Source organism: Homo sapiens, chromosome X, assembly GCF_000001405.40.
Source record: "Homo sapiens chromosome X, GRCh38.p14 Primary Assembly".
Classification (NCBI taxonomy): domain Eukaryota; kingdom Metazoa; phylum Chordata; class Mammalia; order Primates; family Hominidae; genus Homo; species Homo sapiens.
In genome coordinates, this window is record NC_000023.11 from 17,165,017 (window position 1) to 17,183,186 (window position 18,170).

Here is an 18,170-nt window from a genome sequence, read left to right on the forward strand (position 1 = left end):
TTTTCCTAGACATTCCACCACCACCACCACCACCACACACACACACATACACACACACTCACACACCACTTGAACTGAATTTACAGGAAATACACTTGTCATTATTTTCATAGAGAAACCATCAGATGGGAAATTCTTCAGCTTCTGACCACCAAACTTACTAAGCAGCCCTGATTCACTCCATGGATCTATTGAATCAGTCAGACTGTGAGAGAAGCCTTTGGCAATGACTTTTGAAAACAAACTCTGCATATTTAAGTGGATGATGAACCAGTTTGGATAAACTAAGGGAACCTGGACCTTTGCCTACTGCCACCAAAAGAACCAGGGTGGCTTCTGGCTGCTTTGCTTGGGATGGGCTCAGCAATGAAGTGCCTATTTGTTTGCTGGTTAGAAATTGTTCATAGTGTTTGCCTTCCTGGGAATCTTGTTCTCCCCTTGGGCATTTAAAGTGGGTTCAATATTTTCATGTGGCTTTCCCCAGAATTCTGTTTTAAGGGCTGCTACTCCATTTTTATTCCATTTGCAGGGAATCAGATTGTAAACCAATCTGCACCCTATTTAGTTGTCTGAGGGAGGAGCAGAGTGTGCTTTTGAACAGACTCTGCTTTTGAAAATTACTTGGAACGTGCTTTTTGCAATGCCCTGGCCTAATGTCGAAGCATCATGCCAGGGAGGTTGTTTTTAATTACTCATTTACTTCTAAGCTTGGGAAGCAGGAGTGGTATGAAGGGAGGAGAGGTTGGGTGGTGGGGAGGAAAAAGAACAGCCTGTGTACTTGTTTGCTCATGGTGGTGAGAATGTTATGCCCTGTCCTTACTCTGCAAGAGAAATTATTCATAGCTTTATACAAGTAACCTGACCCCTCCTTGCAAAAGGCACTGATATATATGTGAACAAAAGAGATGTTCTTGCATTTGCTGAAATAAAGAAAAAAGAGAGAAAGAAAAAAGCAAGCAAGCTGTGGCTTCTTCTAATGCTCTATTCCTAAAATTCCTTTATGCCTTCATGATTATTATACATAATTTTTATGTTTATATTGGGTTCCAGCACAAGAGGGAGGCTAAAGAATTCCAAAGCTCTCTTTTGATGCTCTGATTCTCTCGCCGCTGACCTGTGTGATAATAACAATAGCGGGGTTGGAAGTTGCTGTGGGAAGAGAGGTGGAAGAGGTGTTGCTTTCTTTGTCACCCACAGAGTCCCTGAATGTATTTCTCCTCTGGTACCAGAGGGTTTGTGTTGTCAGTTAAGCCCAGAAAAAAAGAATTATAGTGGCTAAGACACAGAGTGATTGGGCTTATCTGGGACTCCAGTGACCGTGGGCTACTCCCCAAGAAGTGCAGTTGTTTCATTGCTACTAATACACAGCCTGCTGTAATGGGGGAAAATAATAAATGAGCCCAGAACATTATGTTGGGTTTTAGCTCATTGACTTAAAAGGCTGAGGTATAATTTCCCTGAGATTTTTACAGTCATGAACATCTGCTCACAGGAGCCTGCAACATCTGCAGCACTTGTAGTCATTCTTTGCAAAGGACCATAAAGTTTATAGAAAAACGAATCCACCCAGACACAGAGGAGACCTGGCAGAACCACCTTCCTGGCTGAGAAGTTTATTTTATATTCCAGCCTGAGCTACAGAACATTGTGTGCCTACACTTGAGGATGTGTAGGGAAAACAGAGCTGGGATTTCTTCTCTGCCCTTCTCTACACACATGTGTATGTCCCAGTCACACAGAGTCCCTGCTGTGTGCTGGGTGCTTTCTCATTTATGTTATCTTCTTTAACTCTCATAGCAGCCATGTTGGTGGCCATTAGCTCTTTCCACAGTGGTGCATACATATGTACACAGACAATTTTAGGTGTACATACTGATTTGGGAATTTTTAAGCCCCAAACATAAGTTTCTGTAGTCTGGATTCACAATTATGTGGTGAGGAAAAGGTAAATAGAGGTAGTGTCATATAGAAAGAGGACTGGATTAAGATTGGGACACCTCCATTCTGATCTCAGTTCTGGGGCCTTTTTATGTTGATTTCTTTGGGGCTTCTATTTCTCATGTATACAGTGTGGGAGTTGGATTTAATTTTCTCTATCTCTTATAGTTCTCATGCTAAATAAACCAGGAATCAATACCCAGTATGACTTCAACCATATAAAATAAATATGTAGGAAGAAGGCAAGAAGGAACTATGCCACAATGTTTTCAGAGATTGCCTTTGGGTGGTAGGATTATGAGGGAGCACTAACTATGTTCTTTGTTCTTTCTGGCTTCTTCCAAATCTTCTATAAAGCATGCATATTATATCTATGATCTGAAGAACATAGTAACAATTTTGAACCATTTGGTGAAGATAGCACTGCCTTTTTATTGTATTATCTCCTTCTTCAGATAGACTTCTGTTACAGCCGCCAGACCAGTGTAACACCTCTCCTGAACCTTCCCTACTTAACTGTTGTCCACTCAGTTCCCTCCCATGGTACTGCCTTAGACATGCTTACTTGTTGCTTTGGGTGTTTTAGTCTTTATGGTATGTATGTGTGGTTTATATATACAACTAGATTAAAAGATTCTCAAGACTGGGGGGAGCGGGTCTTCTGCTTGTTTTTATTTGTTTGTTTGTTTACAGATGCTCTGGTATTACCCATTGTAGGCACTTACAGTTACATGTTGACAGAGCAAATGAGTGAAATAGTACATTTCAATGTCTTGGATCTAGGAGTTTCTTCCATTACGCAGCCAACAAAACTGACAGAGCTTTGCATTAGGGGCCAAGATAGGATTTTAAAAACTTCTATCCAATGTGGCTGCTGTCTTCCAGGAGCTTGTAGTTCAGCAGGGGAGATTATACACATTTATGAATGTCTGCAATTAAAAACTGTATGATGGGTGCCACTGGAGTGATGGAAACTTTGGAGCACAGGATCTCTGAGGAGGAAGAATTTACTTCCAACAAGATATCAGGGAAATTATACCTGACATTTTTGGCACCTCACAAAACCTCTGGTCTCCCTCTGGTTTCAAACACAGCTGCAGTGGATAGTTCCAGGCAAACTTGGAGTCATGCTGACAGCATCCCACCTCAAGTCGGCACATGTATCTTTCTGCCTCAGGGCTTTCTCTAATGCTGTGGGAGCTGGCTTGGTGCAAGAGCAGTTTAAAAGTGTGGGGAAGTTACTGTTCAGTGGGGTAACTCTCAACCAATAGAAGGTAGGGGCCAGGCATGGTGGCTCACCAGTAATACCAGCACTTTGGGAGGTGGAGGTAGGAGGATCGCTTGAGCCCAGGAGTTTGAGACCATCCTAGGCAACATGGTGAAACATCGTTTATACAAAAAATACAAAAATTAGCTGGGCATGGTAGTGCATGCCTGTAGTCCCAGCTACTTGGGAGGCTGAGGTGGGAGGATCTCTTGTCCTAGGAGGTGGAGGTTGCAGTGAGTCAACATTGCACCACTGAACTCCAGCCTCAGCAACAGAGCAAGACTCTGTCTGAGAGGCATCCCATAGCTTCTCAGGGATCTCTGTGGAATTTACCTCTCACTGCCTACAACAGTGATCTCAGTAGAGCACTCTTATATTGGCTTGTCCTCCATATCTGTTTTACTGTCTTCACTTCTTCACTCAATATCTGTGCTCAGGTTCTTTTCTCAGGCTCTGTTTCTGGAACAACTTAAACTAAGGCAGAAGCCATTGTGGATTCAGAGGCATTTGAACTGGGTCTTGTCCACAGGCAAAGACAAGGAGAAAGGGGAGGTTTCAGTTAGAGGCACGTTGTAGAGAAGGCATGGGAGAGCACAGTACATTGGTTGCAGTAGTAGTTTTGAACTTCCTCTTATCAAGATATGGAATCTGTTCTCTACCCCTTGAATCTGAGCTGGCTTTGACATGCTTTGTCCAATAAAATGCTGCAGAAGTGAGGCTGTGTGAGTTCTAAGCTTGGGCCTCAGGTAGCTCAGTACCATTCTGCTCTCATTGTCATAAAGCAGAAACTGCCATATTTGCAAGCCAGGACTAGCCTGCTGGAGGATGAGAGACCATGTGAAGCAATGACAAGCTGTCCCAGCTGAGGAAACTTCTAGACTTATAGCCCTTAGCCAGCTCAGTAGCTGACCACAGACATGGGTGAGCACAACTGGACCAGAAGAACCTCTCAGCTAAGCTCAGTGCAAATTGTGACTTGAAGAACCGTGTAGTTTTAAACTACTAAGTTTTGGAATGGTTTGCTATGCAAGGAAAGCTAACTGATATATCCAGGGGAAAACTGGATCATCCTGATGAGCTAGAAGATGGCATCCATGGTGAATTGGGGGTACATTAGGCTTTGAATGCCATCCTAAAGATTTCAGCATTAATTCAGTAGGTAAAGAAGCACTGTGGGGCCAGGCATGATGGCTCATGTCTGTAATCCCAGCACTCTGGGGGACCGAGGCAAGAGGATCACTTGAGCCCAGGAGTTTGAGACTAGCCTGGGCAACAGAGTGAGACCCCATCTCTACAAAAAATGTTAAAAAATTAGCCAGGTGTGGTGGTGCATGCCTGTAGTCCCAGCTACTTGGGAGGCTGAGGTGGGAGGATTGCTTGAGCCTGGGAAGTTGAGGCTCTAGTGAGCTGTGATCATGACACTGTACTCCAGCCTGGGTGATAGAGTGAGACTCTGTCTCAAAAAAAGAAACAAAAGAAGCACTATGGAAGAAAAGACTGGCTGACAATCAAAGATTTGGGTTCCCCATTCTGTAGTGTTGAGTTTTTTGCCAGGGAGGGTCTACCCAGCCAAGGACTGTCTTGTCCCAGTTCTCTTTACACATGACTAGTTCTCTCCAGTGGGATGCAAGTGGCAGGGGTGTGTGTAACCTTCAGGCTGAGATGACTAGGGCTTAGGTATAGGACCCTCCAAGCTCTCCCTCTGTCCCATCTGGCAGTTGGATGATACCCAGGCAATCTTACACCCACAGGATGGTAGAACCTCAAGATGGACACACCCCAAATTCCTGAGTCTCCCCTTGGAGGAGAACCATTCAACAGAGTGGACTTTGCATGAGCAAGAAATAAACTTTTATCATGTTAATTCATTGAGATTTGGTGGTTGCTACAGCATCTGGCATTGGTTGCCCTGATGAATGTTGGCACCATCACAGGAATTTGAGTTGGGTATTGTACACCTCAGAGCAGTGATTTGGAGATGTAGGCTTTAGCAGCCAAAGGCAGGGCAAAATGGCTCCTCCAGCGTTCTGGTACTAAGAAGACAATGCCCTGGATGTGGCTTTGGCTATGAAAGCAAAAAGGAAAGCACCAGAGTAGAGTGTCCTTTCAAGTTAGACATTTCCTTCCAGGGTAAGAAACTGGTTAAATTGTGGACAGTCCTACCATGCACAAGAAAATATTTACGCCTAAACTTGTTTCCATCTGTTTGGTTGTTAGTTATAAAACTTGCTCTAGCATTTCAAGATTGGAATCTTCAAAGGCCAGTTCTTCAAAAACAAACACATCCGAAGGTTCTTTTAAAGGATAATGGTAATAATGCTGGACCTGCCAGAGAGGCACTGTCCCTTCTCTGAGTCTGGGATACATTGTTCCTTTCTGCCATGCACTACTGAGATCCTAATCTAAACAAAATGGATACCACCATTTGGTTGCTTAGTTTTTCTTTGTGAGTGGACACAGGCCCTCTTGAGGAAATAGGATGATCTTTAGGAATTTTCTGGGGAAAGATTTAGATGGATTTCACTTCTGGTCACTTGGGGAAATTCAGTGCCTGTCCATGGGAGTGTTTTGGAGCCACATGCTTCTGAGAGACTCATCCCTTCGAATTGCTCCTTGAGACAACAAGCCATCCTTGGCACTTTGGAGCTGTGGCACTGCCACTAGTAACTTTGCTCCTTTGTGACATTGGTTGGCTTGGCCTAGCCTCTGCCCACCTCTCTCTGCCAGACTCCAAAGGCCAGGTCTGTCTTAGACAGGGAAAACTTTGTAGGACATCCTTGACTCCATCTGTCTGGCTGGCAGGGTGTTTGCCTATTGCCTGTGGCCACACCAACAGACGCCCTGCTTACAGGTCCCCTGGTGTTGGCCTCTCCCCTGCTCCAGCCTGTTTGTCAAGTCTCCTTGGCCTGGCCTGCCCCAGCCAAGCCCAGATTTTGACAATATCCCAAGGGCAGCTGTATCTTTTCAGCTGTGCTTCATGGCGGCCTTGGAGTGCTTCCCACCCAGCTCCCAGAGGCCTCTGGAATGTTGAGAGAGAGCTTTGACCTAGACCTGGTTCACCTCACACCATAACTAACCAGTTTATTATAGCATGCAATAAACCTCAAACCAGCTTGACTCAGATTCTTAAATGGCCAGTTCCAACCACCCCATGTCATCCTGGCAGAAGCATAACGCTAATTTTATTAAACCTCTTTCTAACATTGAAATGGGCAAAATGTGTCTTCAGCATCCCACAGCATCCACTTTAGGTCTTTCAAGAGATGTGAGATTCCTTCTAATATCTGAACATATATGCCATAATTATAATTTTTTTGAGACAAGGTCTTGCTCTGTCACCCAGCCTAGAGCGCAGTGGTGTGATCACAGCTCACTGCAGCCTTGGCCTCCTGGGTTCAAGCAATCCTCCTACCTCAGCCTCCCTAGTAGCTGGGACTACAGGTGCACACCACCACACCTGGCTAATTTTTATGTATTTTTTTTTTGTGGAGACAGCATTTTGCCATGTTGCCCAGGCTGGTCTCAAACTCCTGGGCTCAAGCAGTTCACCCACCTCAGCCTCCCAAAGTGCTGGAATTACAGTCGTGATCCACCGCACCTGGCCCATAATTATAATTCTTATGTTTTTCTTCTGCACTTGTTTTAAGAATTGAACCTAAGAATAATACTGGGACTGAAATATTGGCCACCCCTAGGATGGGAGGTTGGTTAATAATAATAATGATGGTGGTAACGCTAACCAATGTTCATTGAGTACCTATTACGTGTCAGGCTCACTTAAAGATAAATTATATACAGATCTTATTGAGTCCCCATGATACGCTTGCCCTGTGAGATAGATATTATCCCATTTTATAGATGAGGAAACAGATATACAAAGGCCAAATAATTTGCCCAATTTAAGAAAATACAATACTTGGGTAGCCAGGCTTAGAATCCTGGCCATGTCATACTAGAATTTGTGCTGTTAGCTCTGTTATCCTGTATCTTGATTTGTGGCAGACAGGCTGATATGGTTTGGGTCTGTGTCCCTGCCCAAATCTCATAGTGAATTTATAATTCCCAGTGTTGAGGGAGGGACCTGGTGGGAGGTGATTGGATCATGGGGGTGGATTTCCCTCTTTCTGTTTTTGTGATAGTGAGTTCTCATGAGATCTGGTTGTTTAAAAGTGTGTAGCACCTCCCCCTTCACTCTCTTTCTCCTGCTCCACACATATAATATGTGCCTACTTCCCCTTCACCTTCTGCCGTGATTGTAAGTTTCCTAAGGCCTCCTAGCCATGCTTCCTGTACAGCCTGTAGAACCATGAGCCAATTAAACTTCTTTTCTTTATAAATTACCCAGTCTCAGGTAGTTCTTTATAGCAATGTGAGAATGGACTACAGGCCCTAGGTGGATGGTTTTTCTGTCTTAATTAAATCTGGGAGCAATGATGGTAGAATTTTTTCTATACTGGAACAAACAATTGAGAGTTATTTATTTATTCTGTTTAATTACACTAGGCAGTGTCAGCTCTTCAAAGCAGAAAAATTCAAATAACTTCCTAGAATTTCAGAATATAAAATTAATACATAATTTTACCACCCAGAGATAACCACTGTTAACACTTGAATATTTTATTTAGTATTTATTTTCATTGTTTTCTAATATTAATAATAAAAGTAATTTTAGAAAGTACAGAGAATCAAAAAGAAGGAAATCAAAGTCATTCCAAATTTTACTATATTGCTATTTTTCAGTCTGTGTGTATGTATGTGTGTGTGTGTGTGTGTGTGTGTGTGTGCATCATAGTCCTTTATAATCTGAGCTTTGTAATTTAATAATATTTTATAAATGTCTTTCATCTAAAATAATACCTCTATTAGTTTTCTATTTCAATGTAACAAATTACCACAAATTCAGAGGCTAAAAACAACACATATTAGTTATCTTACAGTTTCCATGAATCAGGAGTTCAGGCACAGTTTAGCTTGATTCTCTGCTCAGAGTCTCACAAGGTTGCTAGCATGAGGTAGGTCAAGCTGTGTTCTCATCTGGAGGTTTGACTGGGGAAGAATTCTCATCTAAGCTCATTTGGGTTGTTGACGCAATTTATTTTCTTGAAGCTGTATGACTGAGGGCCTGGCTTCTTCCCGGCTGTTGAATGGAGGCTGCCCTTAGGTCCTAGAGGCCATCCACAGTTGCCTGCCAGGTGGCCCTCTCTGTAGGCAGTTCATAACATGGTGGTTTGTTTCCTTAAGGCCTGTAAGATAAGTATTATATCTCTATCTCTATCTATCATAATCTAACCACAAGAGTGACACCTCATCACCTTTAACATATTCTATTTGTTAGAAGCAAGTCTCAGGTCCTGCTCACACTCCACAAGTGGAGAGCATTACACAGGGTGTGAACATGAAGCTACTCTAGGATCCATTTGCCATACACCACTTAGAATTGAGCCACACTATTTCTGCTTTTGATACACTATTTAATGAATCCCTTATATTTGAACCTTAGTGTTCCAATATATTTTTGTCATTTTAAATAAAACTGCAGTGATCACCCTATTACCCTTGTGGTTCAATCTTTTCATAGGCCCTTAATTATTCCATTTTCACAAATTATAAAAGATGGATTTGTTGGGTTAAAAAGTTCACATATTTTAGAGGCAATTGATAGTGTTGCTAAATTGCTCCCTAGATCAATTTCCCCGGGTGGTGTAGGAGGGCGCAGGAGGCATTTTAGCAAACTAACCTAAGTTAACATTTGTAAAGTGCTTGAATAATCCTGGGCACACTGAAAGGTCATATGTACATATTAAGTCAAATGAATTAAAAAAAAAAAAGAATTGAGTTACTTCATCCTCACAACAACCCTGTAAAGTAGGTACTAATGCTTTTCCCATTTTATAGAAGATGAGGCCAGAAGGGTAGGCAAAAGGTGACTGACTTAAATACCAAAGGCCTGAACTGCATCCCAGCTTCTTCACTCATCAAGCATATGACTAAGCAAATTATTCTTCCTGTCTGAGTTTATTGTCTCCTTTGTCAAATAGGGTTAACAGCACTTACACTACCTCGCGTACATCAAGGGAGTTAATGCTTGGGCCCGTACTTGAAAGCTGTAGACCAGCGATTCTCACCTCTGGTTGCACAGTGGAATCACCTGGGGAGCTTTAAAAATGACAGATGCCAGGGTCCTGACCCCAGAAATTCTGATGTAATTGGTCAGGGTCGTGGCCTGGGTATCAGGATTTTTTAAGGCTCCCAGGTGATTCTAATGTGCAGCCAGGGTTGAGACCCACTGCTAGAGCCACCCACGTTTGCCAGGGATTATTTCTGCATACAGCTGAGGAAGCAACATTCAGTTCTTGTTCTCTGTTCTGAGCTGTCAGGAAATGGCCTGCTAGGGTCAGGCTGGAATCAAACCTCTGTCTTAAACTCCAGAGTCAACTCAGTCTGCTAAGTTAGTTTGGGAAGCCATCAATTACCTGCTGTTTTACCCTCCGGTGTGGGTCCCTGGGCAGCGGGGCATCAACCTCAGCTGTGCTGGCAGGGCTGCTTTTCAATGGAGCCTGCTGTCACTGCTGCTGCCGCCGCCGCTGCTGCTGCTGCTGCTATTTTTCTAGAAGCCAAAGCAGATCCTCACATCAGAGCTTCAGCTCCCTGCTGCCTGTCAGTCACAGCTGCATGACTGAGACTGAGGGACCAGATGCCTGGCTGCCCGCCACTGGAGCTGGGTAGCAGATTTGCTGAGGTGTCTTTGGGGCCAGGCCAGCCTTCCAGTTCACTGTGAAGGCTGGAGATGAATTTCTCTGGGCAGCCAAATGCAGTTCGAAATGAACGTGATCAATCAAGGGAATGAAAGCCTTGGTCAAGTGGCCCCAGCATGACAGAGAAGGCCAGCACCAGCCTCTGCCTTTCTCCTACGCTTGAGAAATTGGGAGAAGGTACTTGTGTGTGCCATTTTGCTGAGGTCAAACACTGCCCAGTGATTATGGGGGAAACGGTGGTGTAGAGAAAGACAAGGAAGAAAATGGAAAACTCTTATTTCAGGCAGGCCTACTAGGTGTCAGGCATTGTATGGGCACATTAAATGCATAACCTCATTGAATCTGAGTGATAGAACCACAAGAATTAGACACGGTTATCTCCATTTTACAGATAAAGAAGCTGAGCCGTAGAGAGGAAGCCTCCTTGTGAGGTCACATCACTAGCAAAGGACAAAAGCAGAATTCATGCTTTCACCTGCTGGCCTGCATAGCACTTGTTTTTTGCATACCACCCTGCTTCTCAAATTGGGAAGGGACATTTTTGATCCAGGTAGCTAGTTTTTTTGTGTGAGTTTCTTTGCCTCTCATTAGGGTTGTTGCCATCAGGGCCCATCCTTGGCTCAATAGTGCAATACTGAAGGTTGCTTTTGTCATGGTCCAACTTCTTCATTGAATTAATTTAGGCAATGTTAGCTGCTATAACAGACAAACCCCCAATTCTGAGGGGCCTAACACAATAGACATTTATTTCTTGCTCACATAAAGTCCAGCTGGCCGTGTGAGAATGAAGGTTTTGCTCCATGCAGTCATGCAGAGATCCAGGTCCCTTCTGTCTGAGGCTCTACCCTCCCCTAGAGCTTCAGTGTCATCCACTAGGTCTTCTGCCTCAGAAAGGCAGGTGGGGGAAGGAAGCATGGAGGATCCTGTAGGAGGTTCCACAGCCCAGGTGAGGACACAGTACACCTTACTTCTGTCCACATTCCATTAGCCAGAACTCAGTCACATGTCAATGCCTAAGCCAAGGCAGGATGGGGAATACATCTAGCTGTGTGCCACCCAATAACCAGCACCCACGTCTTGGTTGGGGGGGCTGCCCTAGGCTGCCAGAATCTGCTTGGTCCTTGGGTACAGACAGCTGGGATAGCCCATTGACAAAATGGCTGATGGGTACAGGGTGTAAACTCCCCCTTGTCCCCTGATGGAGACACTATCTCCAGAGCACTGCTGTGGGATTAAGTCAAAGGTTTATCTCCATGGGGTCTTCCCTGATGCACCCTTGCTTGGCCTCCTTCCCTTCTCAGTGCTACTTCTACAATCCTCAACTGGCTTTTAATACAGATTTACCCACACCAGAGGGTAAAGCAGCAGGTAATTGATGGCTTCCGAAGCTAACTAAGCAGACTGAGTTGACTCTGGAGTGTTACACAGAGATTTGATTCCAGCCTGACCCTAGTGGGCCATTTCCTGACAGCTCAGAGCAGAGAACAAGGACTGAATGTTGCTTCCTCAGCAGTATGCAGAAGAGAAGGAAATAGATTTCAGTGAACGTAGAGTAGTTCTGTTTACAACCACGTATGCCCCTGAAGTCTCTTCATTCTTGAGGCCTTACCTTCTTGATCTTACCCACACCCTCTCCAGAAACCCATCCTACACTTCATTTCAGTGCTCCTCTAATTGATAATTACCTTCTACCAAATTTCTGCCCTTCGTGCATAGGTCAGGGCAGGAACACCAAGGGTACCCAGTCATGGCTCTGCTGAAGGTCTCTATGGGGCCACCTCACACCCAAGTGGCACTTTGGCTAAAGACCATGGGCCTCTCACAAGACCTCTGGCCCACCTTCTGCTGGCCCTTCAGAGGCAGGAGTCAATAATGGGGAGGCTGCCGGCCCTTGGCTTATCTCTTCGTTTGACTAATGATGATGAATGTCAGTGTGTGACTCCGAAATCCCTGACTGCTTTTCCTGCAGTGTCTCCTCCTCGGTGTGTTTTCTTTCTTCCTTAGCTCTGCTGGCTTCAGACCCCAGGGAAATGATGAGTTTCACAGTGATGGACGGTAGGGATTTTTCACAGCTGCTAATTCTGAAATCCCAAGTCAGCAGGATCTGTGCTACCAAGACACATGATTTAGAGGCACTCCATTAAGACTGAAAGTGTTCCCTTAGAATTTCCATAACCCTCTGTGATCAAGGACGCTTATACCTTTAAATTTCCTTCAGAACAAATATGGCAAGGAAGGGCCCAGTTGATGTCAAATGAGCATTCTTTTGCTAGCTCCCTTTCCCAGGTGAAAGTGCTCCCAAATCCTTTCTCATTGGAACGCGAGGAGGAGTGGTCAGGACTCAAACCTGTGTGCCTTTTCCATGACACTTTTCAGAAACACGAGGGCCAGCCCAAGCAAAGTTTATCTGTGATGCTACTTTCAGTAGCTTCCAGGAGACCTATTTGCATTTTAGTGGGGACGACCTTGGTCTAGAAAACATAGAGGGGCTCATTACCTTGCCAAGAATAGAGAGAAACAGGGCAGTTGCTGAGGGGAGGCAGGCCTTGTGGCTTATGGCTGAACTGGGAGGCAAGCTGGCCCAGATGCCTGTCATCAGATGGTGTATGCAAAGGTCTGAGGCTCTTAAGCAAACTTCTCTTTTCTGCTCCCCTCCAATCAATCACTTGAACAAAAAATCCCTATCTCAGGCTCTGCTGCTGGGAAACATAACCTGAGACCTACTTAGGGTTAGATTAATGCCAGCTGTTTCAGTTTTCGCTTGCTGCCTTAACCTGCTACACTAGGCCTGCGAATTTGGGAAATAAGTAGAGAGAAACCTAAAGTCAAGGGGTGTCCTACCTACAGCTTATATGACTGAAAAAATATCAGGAGTTGGGGGAGAAGTTGCCCTGGATCTCGGCCAAGAGTGTGTCTGCTGTCAGTGTCTGGTCTCAACTCTACAGGCCTAATCCTCCAGAATGAAGGAGGAACAGACATTTGGAACTCCATTAAGGGGTTACCTGCCAAGTGGGGGTTGCGAGGGCACAGGTGTAGGAGGATGGAATGTGGGTATGGGGATTGTTCTTTGGAGATGAAACTGTTAACTAAAAGTAGTAAACCCCCAAAGTAGATGTAGCCACAGAGGAAGGCCATGGTTTATGTTTTTGGTAAATAGAGGAGACATCTAAGTGGAATAAATAAGCAAGGCCAAAAACCCAAGAACATTTTTTTAATGTAATATTCTGAAATGCACTCATGGCCTCACTTTGCACAGTAACACACTTACCTCCGGGGCTTTGTCTGACCATGTAACCTTGTTCATTTATGTGGTAGGGAGCTTTTCTGCCCAGCTAATCTTTCATTCTTCCAGTCTCCTGGTTTGAACTGCTCCATTCTGTCAAACCAAAACTGTAAAAAGAAGAAAAGCATAGAATAAAAAGCTGAGCTGAGATGCTTTTCCTTTCTTTGCTGACTGTGAATTATTGTGGTTGAATGATAACTCCCTCTGGGATAGATGGTAAATGATGAATGGGAGCTGCAGTGCTAGACTGACATCTTCTGGAAGGGAGTTGGTTGCCAAGGCCATTAGGAAGTCCCTGTGGGTCCCTAGACCCCTTGTCTTTAACTTTGCTACGCTATGGGCATAAAGACATCTCACCACAGACAGGGGCTCTTGAAGTCTTTGGATAGGCCAGGCGCGGTGGCTCACGCCTGTAATCCCAGCACTTTCGGAGGCCAAGGCGGGTGGATCATGATGTCAGGAGATCAAGATCATCCTGGCCAACATGGTGAAACCCTGTCTCTACTAAAAATACAAAAATTAGCCAGGTGTGGTGGCGTCGGAGGCAGGAGAATTGCTTGAACCTGGGAGGTGGAGGTTGCATTGAGCTGAGATCATGCCAGCCTGGCAACAGAGCGAGACTCGGTCTCAAAAAAAAAAAAAAAAGTATTTGGATAATCCTGGTAGGTTAATTTCCATAAAGTTTAGTGCACAGTTGGCTCCCCTGTTCAGTCTTTTCTTGACTTGGTTTGCATACACCAAATCCAACCCTAAGAGATGACTCCACTCACATACTAATGAAACAACATCACATTATGGAGTGAAAAAACAGACCAGCTTTTTAATCTTAGTTTCATCACTTACTAGCTCTGTGATCTTTGTCTGGCAGGACTGTATTTTCCAAAGGTGGCTGCAGTAGTAGCTTCTATCTTACATGTTCTTCTAGAACTTTGCCTTCCTCCATCAAAAGGTGGAATCTAATGCCCCTCCCTTTGGAGCTGGCTGGGTGGATTTGTGACTATTTCCACAAATAGAATGTGGTGGGAAGTGATGTTGCATGACTTCAGAGGTTAGCTTCTAAAAGGATCATACAACTTCTACTAGATTCTTTTGAGACACTCACTCTTAGAACTCAGTCACCATGCTATGAGAAAGCCTAAGCAGCCTGTGGAGTGGCCTAAGTGGAGAGAAACCAAGGACACTGACCCACGATCCTGACTCAGCTCCTAACTGACAGCTGACACCAGCTTACCAACCATATAAGTGAACCATCTTGAAAGTAGATCTTCCACAGCCCAGTTGAGCTGCCCCAAATGATACCACTGAAAACAGAGATGATCCATCCCTGCTGAGTCCTTCCTGAATTGGATATTTGAGGGCATACATAAATTATTATTATTTTTAACAATAAACTTTAATAATGAGTTTTGGGGTGGTTTGTTGCACAGTAATAATAGGTAACTGCAACATTTGGGACCCAAGAGTCCCACATTTCAGAATACATTTTATAGATATAACATCATCAGTAGATCTATAAGGATGTCTTTGTGCTATGGCTGTAAGGGGAAAAAAACCCTTGAAGCAACCAGAACACCAGGCCATTAGAAATGATTGCACAAATTGTATATCCTGTTTGTACCTTAGACTGTGCAGTTATTGCAAAGAATCAGTTAGCTCTATATTAATTGCCTTAGAGAGATGGCTATGATGTATTGTTAAGGTAGAAAAACACGTTGCAGAGTAATTTATAACATGATCCAACTTTTGTAAAAATGAACAGCAATTAACTCCCTCTGTACATGTGTATATATGTTTGTAGGAGTATGGAGAATTTCATAGAAAGACACATACCCTGATGATAACATTAGATACATCAGCAATATATGGGAGTGGGGCAGGCAGGAATCATGGTCGCAGTGGTGATACTGAGGAGGGTCTTAGGGTAAAAATATTAAATTTATACATCTTTGGATTGTTTCACTTGGTACAATGACCATGTCTTGTTTTTGAAATAAAGAAAGTGCAGGAAAGGAAAAGAAACTTTCCTACTAAGTTTAAGAAAGAAAGGAATAAAGGGCATGGAACTTGGAAACTGACAGATCTAGATTTGAATCCCAGATCTGCTATATACTAAGCGATCTTGAGCAAGCTACCTGACCTCCCTGGGCTTCTGTTTCCTCACCTGGAAAAAGGAAAAATAACAATGCCTACTTTGCAGTGTAATTGTGAGGATTAAAGGAGAACATCATTTTGTGTGATTACCCTCAAAATAAGCCTTAGTTCCGCATATCCAGTCTCGGTTGATGTTCCACCTGAAAAACATAGTCCAACAGACAAAAAAGAAAGAAATTAGCACTTCAGGCTTTGGTTCTCTCTCTCTCTCTCTCACACACACACACACACGCACACACACATGCACACACAGAAATGCCAAAAGAAAATTGTGGGGGCAAGTAAAATGTTACAACACTTCGTCAAAATCCTTTCGCCTACCACTTTTCCTGTCAGTAACCTCCACACAGATGATAGTGATGATGATGATGCTAATGATGATGATTCATTAATCCTTGACTGTGTGCCAGAAACTTTGTGTTTTACATGTATTATCACATCTCAATGTCAAAAATAGGTAAGCAGCAGAGTGCCAGGATTGTTACCCAGGCAGTCTGGCTGCAAAACCAGCCTTCTTAACCATGCTGTCTCTTGCTGGCACCCTCAAATTCACTTTCTCTACCTCTCAAATCCCCAATATTTCAATCAGAAATATTTTGAAATATATCTCTTTTCTCCCACTCAGTTCTTCCTTGCCTAAAAGTATACTGTCTTCATTCCAGGCTGGACATAGTACCTGGACTTCTCTTCATGATCATGGACCATGTAGGGCTGCCCTAGACTAGAAGCCCTGGAGACTTCTGGCCCTGCTCCTCCCTCACCCCCCTAGGGGGAAGCATAAGGAGTCTTTAACATGGTCCTTCTCTCACTGTGACCTCTAAGGGAAATTATCGTGGACAAATAGGTGAACAACATTTTCTGTCTCAGGCTATGGTAGGTTGCAAGGATGGTCACAAATTCTTCCCTTCCCTGTATCCACACTCTTGCAATGTTTGTGGAGCTGGTCTGGCCATGTGACTTGATTCAGTCAATGGGACAATAGCAATCATGACATAAGGAGACTCAAAAAGTGCCTGCATAATGGGGCTTGCTACTACAGGACCCTTCCACTATGTGACCAAGCCTGGGCTAGCCTGCTGGAGAATGCAAGACCACATGGAAGAGAACCAAGGAGCCTCAGCTGACTAGCAGCTGACTGGTGATGCACAGCAGGCCCAGCAATCTGCTGAGCCTGGCCTAGCTCAGGAACAGTGCACAGCTGAATCCAATTCAAATTGCCATCTATAGACTCATGTGCTCAATAGTGGTTGATCCATAGTTAGCTTTATGTAAAGCATTCAGGACATACAAATAGGTACTCAATAAACATGAGTTTTCTTTTTCCCCTTTCCCTTGCTCCATAATCACTCTTTCTCTTAAACTGATAAAGGTAAGGCCATTCAAGTAAAACTACACAGTTAGCCAATTCAAGTAGGGCCTGTGACTTTTTGTTCACATGGGTATTTTCTTGGCCAGCACAAGTCGTGCTTGAACTGACTGCCTCTTTCTGTCTGTAGCTGAGCATATTTTCCCAAAAATGGCCATAATATTTCCAGTTTCACATGCTCTTCCAGAATCTTGCTATTCCCCTATCAACAGGAGGAGTCTATGTTGTTTCCCCCTGAATATCGGGTGGGACTTTGCAACAGCCTCAAGGAATAGAATACAGTGTTATTTATGATTAGTAATAATAGACTTCAAAGGCTAGGTCATAAAAGGCAATACATCTTCTACCTAGTGTGCTCTATCTGTCTATCTATCTATCTATCTATCTATCTATCTATCTATCTATCTATCTATCATCTATCTATCTATCTTAGGACAGGCTCCATTGGAGTCCTGAGCTGCCCATGTAAGAAGTCTGGCTACCGTGTGGCTGACATGTTGGAGAAGCCACATGGAGAGACCTCATAGAAGTAGAGAGAGATGCCTGCGGAGCCCCAGTTTTTCAGCCCAGGCACTGGAAATTTGACCGAATAAGGTTGCAAGATGAACAGCCACAGCACCACTCTAACTGCAACCACCTCTTCTGGAGCAACAGGTAACTTTACCATGATAGTTTCAGACATAGTCTCCATGCCCTATGCAGTTGGCAGCTTTTTTCCTTATGTACATAATCCACAGTTGAGAACTCAAGGCTGCTGCTGGCCAAGGGGACAGTGAGCATGACAGCCAGTCATTAGTAAACAACAGAAGTACAGTCAGAACTCACAGAGTCAGAAAATTAGGAAGGGAGTGCTGAATTAGGGAAAATCAGAAATAAAATTATTTTTGTCCATTTTAAAATGGAATGTTATTTTGCGTCTTTCAAATAGTCACACTAACAAAGACATGCAGCCCAGTGACTGGCATTGCAAGGGCATTTGACGTGAAACAAGAATAGTTAACACTGAGCGAGCACCTACTACGTACCAGGAGCTGTCCTGAGTATTTTAATCATCACACACCACCATATGGGAGGTACTATTATTACCTCATTTCAAAAAATCTGCCAAGCATCAAACAAGTAGTAAATGGCACAGTTGAAATTTGAATCTGGCAGACTGGCTCCAGAGTCCATGATTTTAATCAGCAAACTATACAGTTTCTTGATAATTGTTAAACAAACCAATGTTTCCAAATTAACTTCTAAAAAAAATAACATTTTAAGCAAGTGGTTTATAAGCAAATGTGGATATCTTGGGAGACTATAATGGGAATTCTGGTGAAAAATGTTCAAAGGAGGAATGTTCCCTGAAGGAGGTTCTGCCTTCAGAGAACTTACTAGGGAAAATTTGAATCCTATTCACAAAATTGT

At 43.7% G+C, this 18,170-nt stretch overlaps 1 protein-coding gene across 8 annotated transcripts in view, besides 2 other annotated features; it reads left to right on the forward strand.

Annotated features, from left to right (window-relative positions):
• The window catches only part of REPS2 (RALBP1 associated Eps domain containing 2), a 249,998-nt gene that overhangs the window by 218,359 nt on the left and 13,469 nt on the right, over window positions 1-18,170 (forward strand). The window lies entirely within an intron of this gene.
• Window positions 9,325-9,825: an enhancer, noted in NCBI's record as "H3K4me1 hESC enhancer chrX:17192464-17192964 (GRCh37/hg19 assembly coordinates)". NCBI's record gives its function as "activates a minimal SCP1, AML or CMV promoter by ChIP-STARR-seq in naive H9 embryonic stem cells {active_cell/tissue: H9 hESC(naive)}" and the evidence as "EXISTENCE:reporter gene assay evidence [ECO:0000049][PMID:30033119]".
• Window positions 9,826-10,326: an enhancer, noted in NCBI's record as "H3K4me1 hESC enhancer chrX:17192965-17193465 (GRCh37/hg19 assembly coordinates)". NCBI's record gives its function as "activates a minimal SCP1, AML or CMV promoter by ChIP-STARR-seq in naive H9 embryonic stem cells {active_cell/tissue: H9 hESC(naive)}" and the evidence as "EXISTENCE:reporter gene assay evidence [ECO:0000049][PMID:30033119]".